General features: G+C 45.9%; 1 protein-coding gene across 12 annotated transcripts in view, besides 1 other annotated feature; it reads right to left on the bottom strand.

Annotated features, from left to right (window-relative positions):
* Positions 1 to 18,080: 18,080 nt before the first annotated feature.
* RALB (RAS like proto-oncogene B) overlaps positions 18,081 to 22,668 on the bottom strand; it is a 54,641-nt gene continuing 50,053 nt past the window's right edge. For all 12 annotated transcript variants that reach the window (XM_047445359.1, XM_047445357.1, XM_047445358.1 and 9 more), the window contains one exon: positions 18,081 to 19,650. In XM_047445359.1, coding sequence (XP_047301315.1) covers positions 19,531 to 19,650 — 120 coding nt within the window. In that variant the 3' untranslated portion in view covers positions 18,081 to 19,530. The remainder of the gene's footprint in view (positions 19,651 to 22,668) is intronic.
* Positions 21,585 to 22,280: an enhancer, noted in NCBI's record as "NANOG-H3K4me1 hESC enhancer chr2:121048087-121048782 (GRCh37/hg19 assembly coordinates)". NCBI's record gives its function as "activates a minimal SCP1, AML or CMV promoter by ChIP-STARR-seq in naive H9 embryonic stem cells {active_cell/tissue: H9 hESC(naive)}" and the evidence as "EXISTENCE:reporter gene assay evidence [ECO:0000049][PMID:30033119]".

The following is a 22,668-nucleotide window of genomic DNA, read 5'->3' as shown; positions in this document are numbered from 1 at the left end:
GCTGTGTGATAAGTCTTTTTTCAAACTCATGTTTTCTGACACTTTTTAACACACATCCTCGTTGATAGAATTTCCTTCTCATCCGGGCGTGATGGCTCATACCTGTAATCCCAGCACTTTGGGAGGCCGAGGTGTGTGGATCACCTGAGGTCAGGAGTTCGAGACCAGTCTGACCAACATAGTGAAACTCCATCTCTACTAAAAATACAAAAAAATCAGCCGGGTGTGGTGATACACGCCTACTATAATCCCAGCTACTTGGGAGGCTGAGGCGGGAGAATTGCTTGAACCCACAAGGCGGAGGTTGCAGTGAGCCAAGATCGCACCACTGCACTCCAGCCTGGGCAACAAGAGCGAAAGTCTATCTAAAAAAAAAAAGAAAAGAAAAGAAAGAAAAGAAAAAAAGAATTTCTTTCTCGGATAACTTTAGAAAGAAATCATGGCGGGGAGCATAAGTTTGTACATGGTCATCAAGTACACAAGATAACCAGAGCTCAGAGCAGCCCCGCCCCAGCATCAGGGATGGTGAATGAACCCTTAGGGCCAGGGTCTGCAAGTCCACAGTGGAGTCACCTGTGAGGCTTCTTCCTGTAGGTGGGCAGAGGAAGAGCTAGAGGGCCCCAAACAGGTTCCAATAGGAATCTCTGGATCCGTTTATGGCTAATCAATGATGAACCAGAAGAGGAAAGCTAGTTGCTAATTTCCAAACAAACCACGAAAAAACATAGGAAATGATAAGTTTATTAAAGCAGCATGCTTTTTAAAAAGAAGGCTAATTTTTCGGCTGAGCGCGGTGGCTCACGCCTGTAATCCCAGTACTTTGGGAGGCCGAGGCAGGTGGATCACGAGGTCAGGAGTTCAAGACCAGCCTGGCCAAGATGGTGAAACTTCATCTCTACTAAAAATACAAAAAAATTAGCTGGGCGTGGTGGCACGTCCCTGAAATCCCAGCTATTCAGGAGGCTGAAGCTGAGAATTCCTTAAACCTGGGAGGCAGAGATTGCAGTGAGCTGAGATTGTGCCACTGCACTCCAGCCTGGGCGACAGAGCAAGACTCCATCTCAAAAAAAAAAAAAAAAGATGTCTAATTTTTCTAGTTATTGTTTTTTAATAGAGACAGGGTCTCATCATGTTGCCTAGGCTGGTCTCAAACTCCTGAGCTCAAGTGATCCTCCCACCTCTGCCTCCCAAAGTGCTGAGATTACAGGCATCAGCCACCACGCCCAGCCAAAAAGTGTAATTTTAAAGGAATCGGGTCACAGGGTTCAGGCAGCAGCCAAGGAGCTCTAGGGTCTTCCAGAGCTAACATAAACTTTCAAAAGAAACCATATCTGTGCACATGTGTAGCATTTGCCAAAGATTGTTTTGACCTGTAGTATATGAATAAGTGTTTTGTTCTCAACTTTTTTAATTTAAAAAAAAGTGTTTCCTATTCAAATAAGCCCAGAAAATATTGGATTAAAAATAAAGTGTCCTAATAAGGGCTTTGAACCTCCAGAAAGGAGGACTCTAACATGAACATGCAATGTTCCATGAGCACATTCAGTCATAAAACCCTTGTTTCCTGAAAAACCAATTTGCATTTCTAAGAACTAGTATTTCGTGCCATATTTTTTGAAGAACACTATCCCAATTCAATGGGACATGCAGGCCAGTGCTGACGGAAAGTCAGATTGTGGCACCAATGACTTCCTGGCATTTGAGTAAAAACAGTCAGGAGAGGCAGGGCGCAGTGGCTCACACCTGTAATTCCAGCACTTTGGGAGGCCGAGGCGGGTGGACCACTTGAGGCCAGGAGTTGGAAACCAGCCTGGCCAACATGGTGAAACCCTGTCTATACTAAAAATACAAAAATTAGCTGGGCATGATGGTGCACACCTGTAATCCCAGCTAGTCGGGAGGCTGAGGCAGGAGAATCGCTTGAACGTGGGAGGTGGAGGTTGCAGTGAGCCAGGATCATGCCACTGCACTCCAGCCTGGGCGACAGAGACTTCATCTAAAACAAACAAACAAAAAACCAAACGAACAAACAAACCAGCCAGTAGAAACAGTACTGGCTGTTGGCTGAACAGCCAGTTCAAAACAGTACTGTTTTGGTTGAAACAGTAGCAACAAGTCAAAGACATGATGGAGAGGAGATTCCATCAAAAATGTACAGTCAGGAATGCAAAGACCCCGAATTTGTCATTAAACCTTTTTGGTGACCTAGCTAGGCCTCTGTGCTAGGGCTTAGCAATTGATGTGGGAATCTCAATCTATAGAACAGGTTTCTGAAAAGTCATATACAAATGAAGCATTATAAGCAAATAAGCCTGAGACAGAAGAGAAGCAATTCTATTTAAAATAGCTGCAGCATCACAATGGAACTCTTTGTGGTGTGATTACACCCCTGGTGTGTGTTTGGGCAGCCAACACCTGTGCTTTGTCCTCCTTTGATCCTAACCACAAGCCTGGGAGAGGGTAGCCCCAGAAGTTCAGCACCTCAGAAACAGAGAATGGCTTACTACCCCCCTCATTTTACAGATGAGGAAGGTGAAGCACAGAAAAGTCAAGTGAGGCCGGGCACGGTGACTCGCGCCCATAATCCCAATGCTTTGTGGGTTTTTGTTTTTTTAAAAAAAAATACTGAGTCTCGCTCTGTTGCCCAGGCCGCCTGGAGTGCAGTGGCGCGATGTTGGCCCACTGCAGCCTCTGCCTCCCGGGTTCAAGCAATTCTCCTGGCTCAGCCTCCATAGTAGCTGGGATTACAGGTGCCCCACCACGCCTGGCTAATTTTTATATTTTTAGTAGAGATGGGGCTTCACCATGTTGGCCAGGCGGGTCTCGAACTCCTGACCTCAGGCAATCCACCCACCTCGGCCTCCCAAAGTGATGAGATTACAGGTGTGAGCCACCATGCCCAGCCCATAATCCCAATGCTTTGGGAAGCTGAGGCAGAAGGATCACTTGAGCCCAGAAGTTTGAGACTAGACTAAGCAACATAGCGAGACCCCATCTGTACAAAAAAAATCAAGCAATTAGCTGGCCACACCTGTAGTCTCAGCTACTCGGGAGACAGAGCCAGGAGGATTGCTGGAGTCCAGGAGATTGAGGCTGCAGTGAGCTATGATGGCACCACAACATTCCAGCCTGGATGACAAGTGAGACCCTGTCTCAAAAAAAAAAAAAAAGAAAACAAAAAAGCCAAGTGACTTTTTTCTTTAAATTCGAAAGGCAAAGTTCTCATATTCAGTGTTAAAGATTTTTGTTAAACTGTTAATTATTTATGTCAAAACTTTTTGTAAGTTCAGAAAATGGGGAATGCTGAGTATTTTAAACAGAGATGAGAAAACAGCTACTGAAAAGTTGATTTATTCTAAGTGTTGAAAATCAGTGTAGAAAAATCAGCCGGGCGCGGTGGCTCACGTCTGTAATCCCAGCACTTTGGGAGGCCGAGGCGGGCGGATCACCTGAGGTCAGGAGTTTGAGACCATCCTGACCAACATGGAGAAACCCCATCTCTACTAAAAATACAAAATTACCTGGGTGTGGTGGTGCACGCCTGTAATCCCAGCTACCTGAGAGACTGAGGCAGGAGAATCGCTTGAACCCAGGAGGCGGAGGTTGTGGTGGGCCGAGTTGCGCCATTGCACTCCAGCCCGGGCAACAAGAGCGAAACTCCATTTCAAAAAAAAAAAAATCAATAAATGTGTTACTACCCATTCTGAGGAGATGGAACATGAGAAAAGCTGAGACAGCATCCAAAGAATGCCAGTGTCAATCTTTAGACTACCCAAACCACCCGCTTACCTAGAAAAAGTGAATCTCATGAGTAGCGTACAGGTTTTTACCAGTACAATGTTTACTGCGGTGTGAACTCAAGCAAATTCCCCTCGCCCCTGGGTCCCAAAGAACAGGACATGATGCCCTGGGCCTGCAATGCCAGGGACCCCTTGGCACAGGTGCCCAGAGGCAGGTAGCACGAAGAGGCTGCCATGCTCCAGGCTGGGCAAACTAACCCCCTTCTAGCCACAGCAGCCCAGCCCCAGAACTGAGTCCTGACCCAAAAGAAGCCACCCTGGCGTTCGGGGTCTGCTTTGCATGGGAGGGTGACTAGCCCACTGTGGCAACAAAGCCTGGGGCAGCCCCCTGAGCCCCACCTCCTGGTACTCACCCCTGCCTTTGTGCAATTCTCTCCCCTCTAGTGTGGGCGGGACCTGTGACTCACTTCTAACCAATGGAATACGGCCAGTGTGATGGATGGCACTCCATCTTGACTACATTATGTTACATTTTGCTGGCCATGAAGAAGCCAATTGCCACGTCATGAATGACCCGTGGGGAAGGCCACAGCGCAGGGAACCATGGGAGGCCCTAGGGACTTGAGGGCAGCTCCTCTAACAGCCAACAAAAAACTAAAACTCACTTTTTTTGTTGGTTTTTTTTTGAGACAGTCTTGCTCTGTTGCCCAGGCTGGAGTGCAATGGCACGATCTTGGCTCACTGCAACTTCCGCCTCCCGGGTTGAAGTGATTCTCCTGCATCAGCCTCCCGAGTAGCTGGCGCCTGCCACCACGCCTGGCTAATTTTTTTGCATTTTTAGTAGAGATGGGGTTTCACCATGTTGGCCAGGCTTGTTCAAACCCCTGACCTCAGGTGATCCGCCCACCTCAGCCTCCCAAAGTGCTGGGATTGCAGGCATGAGCCACCGCACCCAGCCTAAAACTCACTTTTATAGCTGCAAGGAATTGAATTCTGGGAACTTGCAAGTGTGTTCTTCCCATGCCGAGCCTCCAGAGGAGAAAAGCCCAGCTGACACCTTGGCTGCAGCCTTGTGAGACCTTAAGCAGAGGACCCAGCCAAGCAGTACACACATTCCTGACCCACAGAAACTGTAAGATACAATAATAAATGTGTGTTTTCTGAGCCACTAAATTTGTGCAGCAAGAGGTAACCAATACATCAACCAAACAAGGGTGTCCGATGTCAGAGATGGCACTTGACATATACAGAGAATCAGTCAGCAGTCACAGCAGCAGAGCAGACGTGGCAAATGCAGGAGGAGGTGCTGAGTCCCAGAGGAGCTGCTGGCAGGGAAGGGAGCCCCGGGAGCCTGGCCCTGTCGGGGCAGGAGGACAGCCTGTTCAGCAGAGCCCTGAAGCATCCTGCTCGACATTCCAGTCCTACACAGGGCTGGCTCTCACATGCACCCTCTCACGATTCACTCCCTCCTTCTCCAGAAATCTGCTCATCTCCCTGCGGCCTCTGTGTCAGACACCATACCATGAACCTTCCAATCACCTGCCAGGGAAACATGGAAGTCACTGTGAGGCCAGGCGCGGTGGCTCACGCCTGTAATTCCAACACTTCAGGAGGCCGAGGCGGGCGGATCACCTGAGGTCAGGAGTTTGAGACCAGCCTGGCCAACATGGTGAAACCCCGTCTCTACTAAAAATACGAAAATTAGCCAGGCGTGGTGGCAGGAGCCTGTAATCCCAGGTACTTGGGAGGCCAAGGCAGGAGAATCGCTTGAACCCGGGAGGCAGAGGTTGTGGTGAGTCGAGATCGGGCCATTGCACTCCAGCCTGGGCAACAAGAGTGAAACTCCGTCTCAAAAAAAAAAAAAAAGAGGTCGAGGCTGTAGTGAGCCAATATCGCACCACTGCGCTCCAGCCTGGTGACAGAGTGAGACCCTGTCTCAAAAAATATGTGTGTGTGTGTGTGTGTGTGTGTGTGTGTGTGTGTGTAGCTAGTGGAGATGAGTATCATCATGTACTGTTTTACTCAGCATCTACCATAAGTTAAATCTTGTATATAAATGTATATACACACTCATTACATCTTTCCAAGGACAAAAAAGTAAAATGGCATCATCCCCACTTAAGAAAAACTATGAGAAAATGATGCTCAGAGAGATTGAGGAACTCATAAATGGGCATAGAGCTTCATTGCTAAGACTCAGGCTGCTCTTTTTTTTTTTTTTTTTTTTTTTTTTTTTTTTTTTTTGAGACGGAGTCTCGCTCTGTCGCCCAGGCTGGAGTGCAGTGGCGGGATCTCGGCTCACTGCAAGCTCCGCCTCCCGGGTTCACGCCATTCTCCTGCCTCAGCCTCCCAAGTAGCTGGGACTACAGGCGCCCACCACCACACCCGGCTAATTTTTTGTATTTTTAGTAGAGACGGGGTTTCACCGTTTTAGCCGGGATGGTCTCGATCTCCTGACCTCGTGATCCGCCCGCCTCGGCCTCCCAAAGTGCTGGGATTACAGGCGTGAGCCACCGCGCCCGGCCCAGGCTGCTCTTTTTAAAGCCTACGTTTTTTCCACAGGCTGCCCCTGACCGTTACAAACAATCCTTACAACCTGGCCTGCCAGCTCTGAGTCTTCCCTTAAAGATGAAGTCTGCAGGTGGCAGCAGGTGGAGGACGGGTGTGACCAGAGGTTGCTTGGATGTGTTTGTGCTCCAGTGTGGTCCACTACAAGCCACTCCCCAAAGGCACTTCAAAAGAGAGTTGGGTCCCCCTTCACATGGGACTTCCCAGAGCCTGCCGCCATCTGGCCTCCCCATCTTCCCATCAGGATGGTGTGTCTCCCCACACACAGCTGGCTGCTTCGCTGCTTCTATTTTGCTCATAGTCTCCTCTTGTCTTGAACAAACTTCCTCCTTTCTTTGTCTTCCTCTCTACTTTCCCACCCTTCAAGACATCTTGTCACTTCCTCTAAGAAGCCCTCCTTCTTTCCCTTTCTAGCCTGGGTTACTTATTCCTAACACAAATGCATACTGCTAGCATAGAGCATTATTGCACACGATGATAGTTGTGCTACCTAGTGCATTACTGCATGGTATTACTTTTATCAGCATACATGTTCATCTTCTCCAACAATGTGGAGACTCCTGAAGTCAGGGCTGTGTGTATTTCATTTTGTATCCCAGTGCTTAGCCCAAAGCATGAGACAGAGCAGGATGTTGGTCGAAGTGATGCTCCTGCCCATGAAATGACCAGCAGCACTAGAAGTTTGGAAAGTAATTAAAGGCGAGGCTAATGTTTACTTATCCTTGAAGCCCTACTATCACCCACGTTAGCAGTCACCCGGCACAGGAGTTTCCACAAACAACCACTGGACAAATATTGTTTGCATAACTGACTCTATGGACCTACCCAGGAGCTTGCTAGGTTCACCCTCCTTCCAGGGAAGGAGAGTCCAGGAGAGTCTCTGACAGCCTCGTTCACCCACTACGCATGCTTTCCTGTTGGCTGGACTGCCTGGTGGACACTGAGAAGCCTCTGGATACACACTCCGGTGCCCTGGGGAGCTTCTGCAGACCTGATGAGGCAGAAGAATGACCTCTAGTGGTCCTCGCTGGCTTTGTTCATCCATGAAGCACTGGAACTGGGAGGGGTGTTTTCAGTGGGAAAGGGTGCAGTAATTCAGACAACTGTCCAGAAAGAGCGCTTATCAATACACAAGAATTCTGGCAATCGCAACAGAATAAACAGCTGTAGAACCACAGAGTAAATATTAGATATACCTCTTTATTACTGGTAATAAACCCATCTAATATAGCAGTAAATAAAATATATGTTATAAATCTTTTAAAGTCTATGAAATTTTCAACCTTAAAATGCTTTAAGAAGCTCTCATGAACATTCAAAATAATACAGACAATAGGTACATCACATTGTACAGTTCTTCAAAGGCATATTTTTTTAAATAACTCATCAAAAAAAAAAAAAGACTCTGCCCCCAACCACCCACCCCAGCAAGAACTACTATGATTTTGCAGTAAGAGATTTTGGAAAAACAATCTATTAAAACCAGGGCTCCAGTACTGCCAAAACCACACAAAGGATCTGTATCTATCAGCATACACTCTCTTTAAATGGAAACGTTTAACTTATCCCGTCATACCAGTTCTCCCAAAGGCAGTTTGTTACCATGTAAATTCAAAGTTGATCAAATCAGTCATCATATACCCATTTTCTGATTTGATTATCCTTGTTTTCTTTGGAGGAAGGAGGACTGCAGTTGTTTTTCTAATGAACAGGTAGAGTATAAAAAGTTTAATTTCTTTTGTTAAACAGAAGTTCTATAGGATTACTTTCTCCCTGATTTAGCCCTGAACTAAAGTTCATAACTACCTTCGTGGTAACAGTCAAAGTTCACCTCCTGTAGGTGCTTATAAACTGCTTGCTTATAAACCCAGGGCCTCTGAAATATACTGACATATTCTCTTCACCAACCTAGGGCACTCACTTCCGTTAACCACCCACTCAGTGCCACTTGGACCAAGCTTCTCTGCCGCAAGCTCGGCCTGAGTTTGATTCCTGGACCCAGCATCTGTAAAACCTTTGGAAAGCGCTCTGAGCCTTTGATCACAGGCTGGCAGAGCAAGCCCACCCTCTGGATTAGACACCCACAAAGCCTATAAAATCAATATCGAAGGCAATGAAGTAATTATTTCATCCAGAAATAATTACTGCTTCAGGTTCACACAGGAGGTGAGTTTCACACACTTAACACAGCTTCCTTGCACAGTTTGTGTGTGCAGACACTCAGCTGGTTTATCCTCATAGCTAGATATGTACATTTCACACACATTTCAAGAAGGGACTTGGAAAGAAATTTCAACTCTTAAAGTTGCTTTCTAGTCACAGGTGAGTGGTCTCTTGCCTCTTTGAAATATAAAGTTTCTTCACAGCCCATAACATGGAAAGATTGCTAGAAGACTTTTATGCAAGACAGCCAGAATATGGAACGCGAGGCTCCGTCACAGGTTTAGCCAACTTCTTGTGAAAGCACCTGTAGTTGACGCTGACAGCCCCCTCTGTTGAAGGAGTCAGGTGCGACAAGGATAGACACATGGGGCAGACCCTAGTCCTACCCAAAAGAATGGTCAGAAGGCAATCAGAGCACAGAGTGGAGGCAGACGACCAGGAGGAGCCAAAGAAGGCATGCCAGGGGTTCTAGGAAAAGAGCGGGGACATCTGAAAAGAGTTCAATAGGGTGACCAGGAGGGATGACCAGGAGGGGTTCAGGCTGCCGTGCACAGTGTGGAGCTCGAGATGTGGGACATCTGTGTGGAGGAAGGAGCACCTTTGCGGGGTGGTGGCCCTGAAAGGATGGGTAGAACTGTGTCAGAAATTGGAGGAGAGTAAGAGTCCAGGCGGAATGAATTGCATGAGAAGAGGCACAGAGCGATGAGGGGAAAGGAAGGGGCTTTGCATAGCATCCATCTTTACAATCACCTGTGAGGCCACTCTAACCACCTTCGTTCTACAGACTTGCTGGCTCACAAAGCCCACATGGGGCAGAGCTGAAATTCACAGAGCTCTGTGTGATTCCTCAGCCAGAGCAACCTCTCTATGCCAAGTACAGGCACTGCTCAGGGAGAAGGAGAGTGCTGAACGGCAAGGGTGCAGGTGGAGGGATGGCAGGCATCCAGATGGGGTGAGGTCCCTGGGGGCTCTGATAGAGCGCTCCAGAATCCCTACAGAGGAGAGGTTTGGAGGAACAGCTGGGGTGGGGGATGGAGAAGGCTTATCCAAAGCTGCATTTCCACAGCATTGGTGCGCCATGGCTCACTTAGGTGTGTGTTCAGTTGAGGCAGTTCCATCGTTTGCTCTAACGCTGGCTAAATCAGTTGTACTTACTTCTGCAGGCGACGGGCAGGAGTGCAATCTGGGTAGTACTTAAGCCAGCTGCCAAGGCAGGGGTTCCTACAGTGGACAGAAACAGGGAGAGACCTGAGTGGGAAGACCACCATGACTACCAGACCACATCTCCAAAGCGTGTGAGGTCAGGAAAACAAGGAAGGAAGAAGAGGAGGCTGAAAAGTAGAAACGGAAAACTATGTTCTGGGGGATACCAGGGAGAAGGCATGCCGGCCAGCAAACGTTTAACGGAAGAAAAACAGGGCAGAAAAGAACGTGAGGGCGAGCTCACCACCACCGGATTTAAGGGTGGGGAGCGGCAAGGCAGACGGCAAGTGTCTACTTTCAACTTAGCAGAAAACTTTCTCACTGAGAAAACAATCAGTCCTCCAATCTGGGTTTAGAGAAACAGAACCTGGTCAGACTTCTAAGATCACTGCTCTAGCTCTTATTTCACTATGTCTCTTGGTACCAGTCCTCAAAAGAGAGCCCCTGCTTTATAGAGAAACTTGAAGCACTTCCTCAAGGCGACATGATTTTACATTTAAGCTAACTCATTCAGTTTAGCCAACACCCAAGATCCTGCAATGAGTCCACATCAATAGAGGGCCCGGAGACACAGAGTGAACAGTGTGTGGTCTCTGTGCTCATGGGGCTCACACGACAACAGGGACTGAGAGGAGCACGAAGCCGCAGAAGGAGCTGTGAGGGGCTCATGAGGCACGTCAGGGAAAGTCCTCGGCGCGTCCAGAAAGGCTGCAGAGCAGCTACACGGTACTTAAGGGTGAGCAGAGGGTCAGAACGGGGCTTTACAAAGACCTTTTATTGTTTGTATGTTATACGTCAATAAGCTTTATTCTTTTTTTTTTTTTCCCATCTCACTCTGTCACCCAGGCTGGAGTGCGGTGGCACGATCTCGGCTCACTGCAACCTCTGCCTCTCGAGTTCAAGTGATTCTCCTGCCTCAGCCTCCCGAGTAGCTGGGACTACAGGTGCGCACCACCACAGTGGGCAGTAAAGGAGTGAGACCCCGAGCAGGGAGAGAGGTGAAAGGAGAAGCAGGAGAAAGCTCAGTCAGGCACGAGAGCACTGGCAATACTGTAAAGACTGGAAACGGCCACTGACTGTGCAGGGGGAGGTCCCTGGTGACTCTGCCCCAACCAGCCTGGCAGAAGTGGAAGCGGCTGCAATGGCGACTGATGTGTGTTTCTGGAACATGTAGCCCCTGCCCTGTGCCTGAGGTAAGGAATACGACTTAGCCATGAAAAGACAAAAAGAAGAAAGGGGTATTTTCCTACACCCATACAATTCAAGAATCTCTGCAGGAGAAAAAAAAAATCCATACACATACCAAAAGCAATTTTTCCCTAATAAAGAACATAATTTGCACAGATGAGTTGATAAGTTGGCCAATCGCACATGGATAAGTGCTGACTTAAAGTTACACAGGTATCTTAGTTACCTTGACCCAGGAAGTCAGGGCCTTTAAGGAAGCCACACTCCACTGCTGTCTCCACAGCCAGAATCGAGTCCCCAGCACTTCCCCCACTTCACTGAGTGCCAGCCCCTGCAGAATGCCGCAGCCCTCCCCCAGGCTGAGAAACCCTGGCCTGGGGCTACGTTTCCAGCTGCGCTGGGATGAAGAAACTTCATGGGTCAGGACATCTTCTTGTCTTAGATTCTCACTCAAACCAATGTGTGGCTAATTAAGGCAGTCTAGACTCACAGAGTTTTACCACAGGATTAAAATAATATCATACATGTGTTTTCGCCACATAAATCAGATTTTAGGAAAACTTTCCCAGCTGCAACTACTGAAAATACACAAGAAGTAACTGATGACTTAGCCCATAAGAAGTTAACCAGCTCATCCCTTTGATTCCTGTGCAACACTCACCTTGAGATGTTTTTAACTACTAGAAATAAGTAAGCTTGGTTTGTTGTTGTTGTTGTTGTTGTTGTTGTTGTTGTTGTTTTGAGACAGAGTCTGGCTCTGACGCCCAGGCTGGAGTGCAGTGGCGCAATCTCAGCTCACTGCAAGCTCCGCCTCCCGGGTTCACACCATTCTCCTGCCTCAGCCTCCTGAGTAGCTGGGACTACAGGCGCCCGCCACCACGCCCGGCTAATTTTTTTTTGTATTTTTAGTAGAGACGGGGTTTCACTGTGTTAGCCAGGATGGTCTCGATCGCCTGACCTCATGATCCACCCGCCTCAGCCTCCCAAAGTGCTGGGATTACAGGTGTGAGCCACCGCGCCCAGCCGTAAGCTTGTTTTAACATGTGAAGTTGATGGACACTAACTTTCCCAAGGATTCCGGAACTTGAAAACTGTTTAGGTATCTGGTCCTTCTTCACTGCCACCTGAGAAGGCTTGTGGAGGCTGCACTGCGGAGAAGCAGCTTCACACTCCTGGCAGCTGGGGGCTCCGTTCCTGCTCCCAGGCCGCAGCACCTTCACCAACCTGGGTGGGAGGCCGAATCCTCAGCTTAGCCAGGTTTCTGTGCTTCTCAGACACGACCAGAGGCCCCATTCCGACTTGAGCTACGTGTGTGGCAATGAATCATCCTGACAGTACTGTCAGTGTGACTGAACACGTCTAGCTTGGTGGCACACAACTGAACAAGTAGAAATGAACAGCAAGCTGCGGTGTGTCAGGACAAGCTCTAGCACTTGAATTAGACAAAGGCTGGGGCGGAAGGGTGTTGGAGGAAGTCTCTTTTTTCATTCATATCTACTCAAATAGAGAAGAACAGCCTTAAACCCAAGGGCCCAAATTAGTTTTAAAACTTGTACTACATCCTTTCTAAAAAGTCCTCAAAGCGGGCCTCGTGTAGCAACTTACAAAAGGAAATCAGGAAGTCTGCACTGACAATATGCATTTTAAAAAGCAGCATCACCAAGGAGCAGGTAACTCACCAACTGCAGCTGGCAAGCAGGATCGTCCCAAACCTGAGAACAAAAAATCTACAAAACCGCTAACAGCACAGGTAAATTAACTTAGATTTGTTGACCATATAAAAACAAGAGAACATCCCAAGTCAGCTACATTTCAAAAAAGATAAGACAAAGGATGTACTACTCCACACGGGCAGTTCAGGTTGTTACCTGCACAGGTAATAAACTGATCACCAAGAGGTAAAAGCAAAACATATAAGTGAAATCAACACAGGCTTAGTGAAAACTCACAATTCCCTCACTTGAAAGTTGGTATCAGAAGACAACTGACCAGGCCGGTCATGGTGGCTCACACCTGTAATCCCAGCGCTTTGGGAGGCCAAGGCAGGCAGAACGCTTTAGCCCAGGAGTTCAAGACCAGTCTGGCAACATAGCAAGACCCCATCTCTGCAAAAGCATTTAAAAATTAGCCAGGCATGGTGGCGTGCATCTGTATTCCCAGCTACTGTGGAGACTGAGACGGAAGGATTGCTTGAGCCCAGGAGTTCAAGACTGCAGTGAGTCATGATTGCACTACTGCATTCCACCGTGGGTGGCCAAGCAGGACCCTGTCTCAAAAATTAAATAAAGACAACTGGCCAGACCCAGGTCTGACCCCAAATGCTGAGGTCCATACTCCTGGAGAACAGAGATTGCCATAGGCCCTCAAGTTCAAAATGACCCCTGCATAAAGTCAAATCAATGTGTTCACTCTAATCTTTATTTAACATTGATCTGCAAAAAAAGGAAATTTTAAGTATTTGTGACAATGAAACCAGGGCAAAATGGAAAGCTGAGCCCAAAAGTTAGTCTCCCCTGAAGCCTCTCTTCAAATAATAGTATTTAAAAAACCCAAAGGGCAAAGAGAATGGAAGGGTCACTAGCTGATGTGTGAATCTGACAAATTTACAGAAGCTGAAACCCAGACGTGAGCCGTTCGATAAGGAAGGATCTGTTGAGATGAGGGCAACAGGACCGGCTCAGTCTGAACCGGCAGATGGAGCAGCAGAACCACGGTGCGTGGCTAGAGAGCCTAGGTAGAGGTCTGTGTGGGACACGGTCCACCCCACCCCTGCAGGCAGCTCTGTCCATCACCAGTGCTTTTCTCTTGGAAGAAACTGCCTGGAGTGAACCAAGGCATCCAGCCTGGCCAATGGCCCCCAGAGCACACCTTCCCTCGATTAGGCATTAGGGGTTCCCAGCACTATGACTGGTTTTCTACCCATTCACCCCAAAGTCAAGCCTGCTATTTCACAAGCCCCACTCATGTACATGGAACTCCTGGCCGACTTTCTATTTCCTCCTAAGAATATGGCTGGACAAGCAGGAATCATTAGATACGTGAGAAAAACTGCAGCTTAAAAAATAAAGAAGAAAAAGTGAATAAAAATACAACTTTCAAAAGATCTAATATCCTTCAAAAGTCAAGATATTGAATCCGTAAGGCCGCCAAGAACAGTTGCTATGAAAAAGGAACAAATAAAGACAAAGAAAGCTTTTGTTCACACATACACACGGTGAGCAAGTGAGAAGACAAAGTTGATCCCACTAGTGTAAGCTTCCAAAGGGCAAGGAATTTGTCTGTTTTGCTCACTGCTCTATCTCAAGAACTTACAACAGTGCTTGGCAAAGTGCTTGGAAAAACACAGGGAGGGAGGATAAATTTGAGAGAAAATAAAGATGGAAAATATAGGAAATGGATGGAGCAGACATGAATCTAGGAGGTTCCAAAGGTGGTAACAGGAGCTCTGGAAGGAGAAAACAGAAGCGATCAAAGAATTTCAAAAATACTTTTTCTAGAGCTGAAGAGGCAGGAGTCTTCATTGGAAGCCTCTGCCGACTACCAAGCAGGATGAGTCACAAAACAGCCACACTTAAGATCCACAGCTGTGTTCATTTCAGACCCTGCAGATAAGGAGAAGGCCCCGATAACGGGAGAGAGGGAAAAGCCAGGGCCCCCACTGCAAAGGGACAACCAGGGAGGGCTGCACCAATTTGATCAGTGATGATGCACCCTCCTGAACTCTGAGCCAAGCCTTCCACATTCCCAGGGAAAACAATTTTGAACCCAGAATTTTACTCCAAGCTGAACTAGCAATCAAATAAAGGGCAAAAGTACCCATACTGTCATACATGCCGAGGGGCTCTGAAAGCTCTCCATCACGTCCTTCCCGAAAATGCACTCCAGCAAAACGAGGATGAAAACCAAGAAAGGAAGACGTGAAATTCAGAAAAGTGTGGAACTGATCCAAGTGTCCAATACAAATCTCACCTCCTACAAAGTAACCAGTCCAAATGAGATCGCGCGATCCATGAGCTCTAAGCAGAATAATCTTCAGAAGAATGGAAGCAGATTCCAAGCGATAGAGGAAGAAACTGGCATGAGGGGGAAGAGAGCACATGAGTGTTCTCTCAAGAAAAAAAGCAACCCAACATCAGGAAAAATGGCGAGGGGGTGAAGGGGCACTGCATAGGAAATAACCAAAGCTGAAGCCCACACATGGCGTGATCCAGGCAGCTGACAACAGTCCGCTGGACCAGACACTAGGAATGCTCCTTCAAGTGGCAGCCTGCACGGCACGGTAAAAGACATGATTGCTGCATGGTGCTCAGCTCGACAGTGAGCCAGGTTCACATAAGTGAGAATAACCGTATCATCTGCGATTGGTGTTCAACTTTCAGAATTAATGTACAGAGAAGCACCAACGCCTGAATTATGCTCACAGAATGGAATGTCCATGTCATCCATCCTGATAATGTAAATAAAGAAGAAAGAACTGACAAGAGCTGGGAAGGAGACAGGGTCAAGAGATGGTGGCAGGACTGCTCACACCCTCACCCTTCCAAGTGGAGAACCACACAGCGCTTTTGAGAGTTGACCAAATAAGAAAACAGAAGTTTAAATATACAGTTTTAAAGGTATAGCAGTCACCAAGAAACGAATTAAAACTGAAATTACTGCTGACGGTCATAACTGGGGGTGAGGGGAACAGGTGAGCTAAATCCTTGTCTGTTATGTCAAATCCTTACTGGAAAGGTCTGAGGTTGAAAAGAAATAATGGCATAAGATGATTATTTAGAAATACAGGAGTACCCAATGAATGAGCTGAGAGTAGGAAGGGTTAGATGTGAGCTTTGAAGCTGGAGCAGGGAAGAGTGAAACTGAAGACCTTCCATCACAACAACTTCCAGGCCACTGGACTTTAAAGCCCATGCAGTTAGAATTTTGATAACATAATTTTAGGCCGGGTGTGGTGGCTCATGCCTGTAATCCTGGCACTTTGGGAGGCCAAGGTAGGCGGATCACCTGAGGTCAGGAGTTCGAGACCAGCCTGACCAACATGGTGAAACCCTGCCTCTACTAAAAATACAAAATTAGCCAGGTGTGGTGGCGCATGCCTGTAATCCCAGCTACTTGGGAGGCTGTGGCAGGAGAACTGCTTGAACCCGGGAGGCAGAGGTTGCAGTGAGCCAAGATCACACCATTGCACTCCAGCCTTGGCAACAAGAGCAAAACTCCATCTCAAACAAACATAAAATAATAATTTTGGCCAGGCGTGGTGGCTCATGCCTGTAATCCCAGAACTTCTGGAGGCCAAGGCAGGCGGATCATGAGGTCAGGAGATCAAGACCATCCTGGCTAACACAGTGAAACCCCGTCTCTACTAAAAAAAAATACAAAAACAAAATTAGCCAGGCATGGTGGCGGGCACCTGTACTCCCAGCTACTTGGGAGGCTGAGGCGGGAGAATGGCATGAACCCAGGAGGCGGAGCTTGCAGTGAGCTGAGATCGTGCCACTGCACTCCAGTCTGGGCGACAGAGCGAGACTCCATCTCAAAAAATAGTAATAATAATAAACTTTTAAAATGAAAATATCGAGGTCAAGTTTACTGCTATAACATTAACATATTAGTACTTTTCAAACACTGTTAAGCTTCTATGGTGCTTTATTAGAAAGTAGCTCATAGACCAACAGAGGTGAGTTTTGTATTTCAGTTGTCATTTAAATTATATGCCAAAATTGACCTAATCTAAAAGACACATTTTCTCCTACATTTTTATGTCATTGGAATCAAGATGAATTCATTTAATTGGTAGGGTTCCTAGTGGTACATAAATTGTTTATGTTATCTTGTAATCAGGGTGCCTTAGATTTAATAGGGCACTTGCAGAAAATTATGTCAACATACTTTTCCCCACATTATTTGATGAAATCAGATTGTTACATCTATTTCTAATACTCTGCTCTGCTCCCTTGTACTCCAGCCGTATCCTGGTTGTTAGTTTCTTCCTGAACACTCCAGGATCCTGGGACTAACTGTCTCCTAGTCTGGAAAGCTCCTGCACCCAGCCCACCCATTCCTCACAGCGCTGGCTGCTTCTGGTCACCAAGTCTCAGTTTACACATCACTCTCTCGGAGAAGCCTGTTGGCCACCCAATCTAAATCAGCTCTATACCTTAGAGACATTTTCTGTCATATTACCCAATTTTCATCAAAGCAGTTATCCTGATGTTTTCATTTCTCTTTCCTTACTAAAGCTTAAGCTCCAGGAGAGTGGACATCTTGCCTATCTTGTTCAACACCACATCCCCAGCACCTAGAATAGAGCTCGACACCAAGTAGGTGCTCAAATAATTCTAAAATAAATATTTTTTAAAATAGCACTAAGCTATGGACATAACATCTAAACATTTAGTGACTGTGTTTCAAATCTATAAGCAGCATGGCTTCATTATTTTTCAATAGCTAAGAATCTCATAAGTTATTTTGTTAGAAGATCCATTTCTAATGGCTATCCAATTAAATTTTAGAAATATACTAATAGAATATATCAAGTATAATTTCTATAGCATGAAACAAGTCATAACATCTTTAATTCATTTGTACATATTCCAAATTTACCTTTTTTTTTTTTTTTTTTTTTTTGGAGACAGAGTCTTGTTGCCCAGGCTGGAGTGCAATGGTGCAACCTCGGCTCACTGCAACCTCTGTCTCCGGGGTTCAAGCGATTCTCCTGCCTCAGCCTCCCAAGTAGGTGGGATGACAGGCGCCCGCCACCATGCCCGGCTAATTTTTGTATATTTTTAGTAGAGATGGGGTTTCCCTCAGGCTGGTCACGAACTCCTGACCTCAGGTGATCTGCCCACCTCAGCCTCTCAAAGTGCTGGAATTACAGGCGTGAGCCACTGTGATCGGCTCAAACTTACCCACTCTTGACTAGAACTGGTATCAAATGGATGGCAAACTAGGATGAAAACAAAAAGCTTGTTTCAAAAATTCAAGAGTGTCATTACCATCAACTTTTTAAATTTTAAGAAGAGATGGAGGAAAGATGAAGTTTAAAGGACGGTTAATACTTACCATTTTATTTGCCTCAACTCAAGTATTAATTGAAATAGTTTGTCAGATATTGAAGAACGCCTGACAAGAATAATGAATAACTGGCCATTCCTTCAGTACTTGCATTTCACATGTATGACAAAAGGATAAAATAAAAAGGCTGAAATCCCGAGAAAGTCTATTTGTCTGCTTTTTTATTCAAAAAAAAAGCCCATGATTCTTTGGGAGGGGATACAGGATTGTTTTCCAGTCAGATCATAATTTCTACCATCTCTGTGACAATCATAAATTCAAAAGGTTCCCACTCTCCGCACCCCGATTCACTTTTGGCACCTATATATGAAATGTCGCTTCTGAAAAATGGGGAAAAAATGTGAATACTGGGCTCTTCCCACAGTGCTCCTTTCCTGATGAAAATCTTTCAGTTTGCTCAATTTAGAATACTGATGCAAGAAAGTTTAAAGATATGTCATCAATGAAAATCTTTTTCTAACTATCTGGCTATCTTAGAAAATAATTATATTAGAAACAGCAGCCAATTCTCAGAGGCAAAGGGGCGATGGCTTATCTCTCTCTACTTCTAATTTTAAATTTAGAATTACAGAGCAATTCTATGAGAGGTAGCAGAAGGTCTGGCACAGGCTCTGGCTTCATGATTTCAGAATACAACTTTAACTCATCACGTCTTTGGGAAGAGTGTGTGTGACACTTAGCAAGAGGCTCACTAGACCTCCGTGTGCAGTGATGCTGATCAGACAGACACATGCATTCACCACTAGTGGAGAGGGAGGGGCCTAACCAGAGGACAGGCAGTTAGGAGAGGACTTAGCCAAAGAACTTAAAAATATCTACACAAGTGGCAATGTGTGTCATTTATAATGCACACCATTCCTGAGTCTTCACTTGGTCTGCCAAAGAAAAGTTCCTACAGAAAAATCAGGATGCTTACAGGAGAAAAATAACCAACACAGATTATAATAGGCCAATGTTTAAATAAGAGGAAAACAACTCACAACTTTCACTTTTCATATGTGAGGAGGAATCAGAAGCTTGGTATTGACCTATCTGGCGCAATTCAAATTCATTTTTTTAGCTGTTTCAGATCCACAGGGTATTGCCAAGAAGCTTACCCAAAAAATCGGTGGATTTTTCAGTGTTCTTAGAGCTGAAGGGATTTTTCTCAGTACTACTACTAAACTGATAAAAGTGGGAGGGCATCTTACTCCACTCCCTCCTCCAAAACCCACTACAACATCTGTAGTTCAAAACGAAGGATGGTAATGTTATAAAACTAGGAACAAAATAAGATGCTATGACAATTCTTTCTCTTTGTAATTAACAGCTGTTTCCTATCTGTGGCACTTTATACATAGCTAAGCTTTTGGGAGGGAAGAAGGGGAGAAGAAAGAAATTCCACAACCTCCTGACAAAGCAGCCCTTCCACTTGCATGGGCTTATTTCTTCTGCCAGCCACAGAGTCACAAATATTTTTCCCCATTTAAAGAAGTTTGAGTGAATGAAGTCGGGGAGAGTGGGAAGCACAAGCAAGAAGTCAACCATAGCCTTCTCTTTACCAACCCAGCCCTGTGTCCTTAGGAGCAGCTGGCTTCATCCGTCACCTTGACACTCATAGTAAGCAACATCTTTCTTTAAAACTTTTCTTGTTCTTGCTGCTTTTCTTGCCATTCTTGTCTTTGTTTTCTGACATCTTCTTTGTTCTGATTTCTCTCATTAGGTCAAAGAACACCTGGGGGTGAGGAGTAAAGAGTAAAAAGAATAGTGAAGAAAGAGCCATTTAATGATTTTTTTCTTTTGTTAACCTGACACTGTGAACACAGCATTTAAGGATTCAATGAAATAATTTGACTAAGCAGGATATGTAGTTACATTTTAAAGCACAAAGTCAAACTGATTTTTATAAACCATATGTCAACAGAAACAATAGCTCTGGGGCAAATAAGAAAAATTAACCTTAAAAAATTCTAATTATACAAAGCAAACATCTCTCATACAACTGCTCGTATCACACAACTGCTCAAGCCAAGGACAGAATCATCGTACTGTCACTGCCATGCAGCAGCAGCTTTTTTTTTTTTTAAATTCAGACAGGGTCTCCCCATATTGCCCAGGCGGGTCTTGAACTCCTGAGCTCAAGCAATGCCCACCTCAGCCTTCCAAGTGCTCGGATTACAGGCGTCAGCCACTGCACCCGGCCTAACAGCTGCTTTCAAAATGATAAAATCTTACAATAAGTGTGATGAAGGGTAAGACATATTTTTGCATATAACAGATCTATACATTTATAAAATTTACAAATATTGAGAGTAATAACAGCAAGCAGACTTTCTAGCATTTCCAACCACCAGGGAAGGGAAGAATGCCATAATGAGTCCCTGCTCCCAGGTGCTCTTGACACCCCTGCATCTGATTTAATCCTTACAAGGACCCCATGGAGGTTGGAACATCATTATGCATGACAGCTTTCCCAGCTAACTCCACAACAGCCACCCTGGGGAGGCAGTAGGATGGGAGAAGGAGGGCGTAAAGCATCAACAACTAAAGCTCCTGCACTAGGCGACTGAGAAGATGGAGGATGAGAGATGTCCTTCTGGCCACCCTATCCCTCCCCACACACACTCCCCCACCCTCAATCTCAGGACAACCACTCCTCCGACCCTTGTGATGTCAGCTGAGAGGAACTTTATCAAGAACTGATGAGACTTGTCCTTTGAAGGTCAGTGTGTTACTTAGATATGGATTATCCTTTTGTCACAGTAGTTTGGGTTTTGCCCTCTGCTACCAGCCATCATGCCAGAGGACTGATTATACCCAAGCAGACAAAATATGAATCCTACGAAGAGACATTTGAGATTTCTCATAGAGAATGACAGAGACTGCAAGTGTGGGACTGAGCACAGCCCTTATCTTCAGACATTCACACAAAACCACAAGCTCCTTCATGGCCACACCTTCTTCTTGGTGAAAAGCAAGATCAAGCCTCTGGAGTGTGGGGCTCCACATGCATTTACCACTAGCTCCAGGCACAGAAAAGCACCCCCAACCCCAGCCCCCAGCTAGATCAGGCCAACCCAAACATCCCTTCTTGCCAGCCTCTCAGGAAAGCACTGCCCAAGACAGCAACAGTGAACAGTTTCAAATGCTACAGGTTTGTCTTTTTGTCCTAACAGCAAAAGACAAGAGGAGGGGAATGGAGTGCATCCAACTTAAAATGATGACAAAGTTGTTCATGGGCTGATCTTATCACACCTTTCATAGAAATTCTTTACAAGTGAATACCATGCTGCCAGTCATAAGTCTCTGCTGGTTCCTGTTTGGCAGGTCAAGCTGGTCCAGCAGACAAGGGGAGATGACAACACAGACCCCCCACGCGACAACCCATCCAGGAAATACACATCCACAGTTCCAAGCTGAGAGAGTCTCCCTGATTTTTTTAAAATGAGCCATATTTCTGGATTTCCTGTGTGGTTTCCACAGCTGGAAAATAATTTAATAAAAATATTTTAAGTAGCACAATAATATAAGAGTGTAAGAGTTGAGAGATGACAATATAAAGAAAAGCTGACGGCGGAACACGCGCTTCCCATTGCAGATTACAACTAAACGGACTTAGGTTGTACAATATATGTATCCTATATGTATATCTATCCTATATGTATATGTCTCCTAAGATACATGTTTTTATGTACGATACATACAAATAGATGTATCTTGCCGAAGTGCGTCTAAAGCAAACCCCTTCTAATACCAACATTCTAAATACCAATGTTCTTCTAGCATCACTTCAAGTGAAAATAAAGCTTGGATAAAAATCTCTCCCTTGTCAGGTAATGAAAGCAAAGGGGAATGTTTCTGCACAAGAAAGAGAAACAGAAGACAGGATATAGGGGATTCAGATGCTGATGCTGCAGAACAAAAAGCAGACGTGTCCACTGTGTGGCTGCCAAAGTGCTATGTGCTTAGATTCTACAAGCACATGGATATGCAGTGAGAGCTAGTGAATGAGGTCAAGGCAGAAAGCCTCATCTTTAAGGCACAGCGTTAAAATTTTAGCTGTGTGGCAACCACCTTGAACTTTAATTTTAAAAAGAAAAAAGGCCTAACAATAGCAATCCCTGATAGGTGGATTTTCAAATTGTCAGCATTCATCATTGTCACTCAAGGTCACCCTTTTATTAGCTTCAGAGATTTGAATGAGAAAGTATGCTGGGATGGGATAAGAGATAAAAAAAAAAAAGAGATCCCAGAGATTTGAGTTCTGAGAGCAAATACTATTTAGAGACTACACTACAAAGATGGAACACTGTGGCTCTGTCAGTGAACAGTAAGGTGAAAAGAACAAATCTGACCAATAACTCAATGAGAGCAAAATCAAGAAGCTCCACGTATCTTTCAAGGGCACCTCCAGGGGAACCTCCTAGAAGCAGCCAGGCCCGCCCACCCTGCTCCTGAAGAGCAAGGCTGTGGAAGGTGAGAGCACACACAGAAGCTAATGACGTCCATCCCTCCAGCCCAGCCTTCACAAACCAATGGCCTCGTCCCACCATCCTTCCCAGGACCACACCAACAGTAAGCATAGTCCGCCGGGTGTGGTGGCTCACACCTGTAATCCCAGCACTTTGGGAGGCTGAGGCAGGCAGATCACTTGAGCCCAGGAATTTGAGACCACCCTGGGCAACATGGTGAAACCCCATCTCCACAAAAAACAGCCAGTGTGGTGGTGCACACCTGTAGTCCCAGCTACTTG

Source organism: Homo sapiens, chromosome 2 (genome assembly GCF_000001405.40).
Source record: "Homo sapiens chromosome 2, GRCh38.p14 Primary Assembly".
Classification (NCBI taxonomy): Eukaryota; Metazoa; Chordata; class Mammalia; order Primates; family Hominidae; genus Homo; species Homo sapiens.
This window is presented reverse-complemented; position numbering and strand designations above follow the sequence as displayed.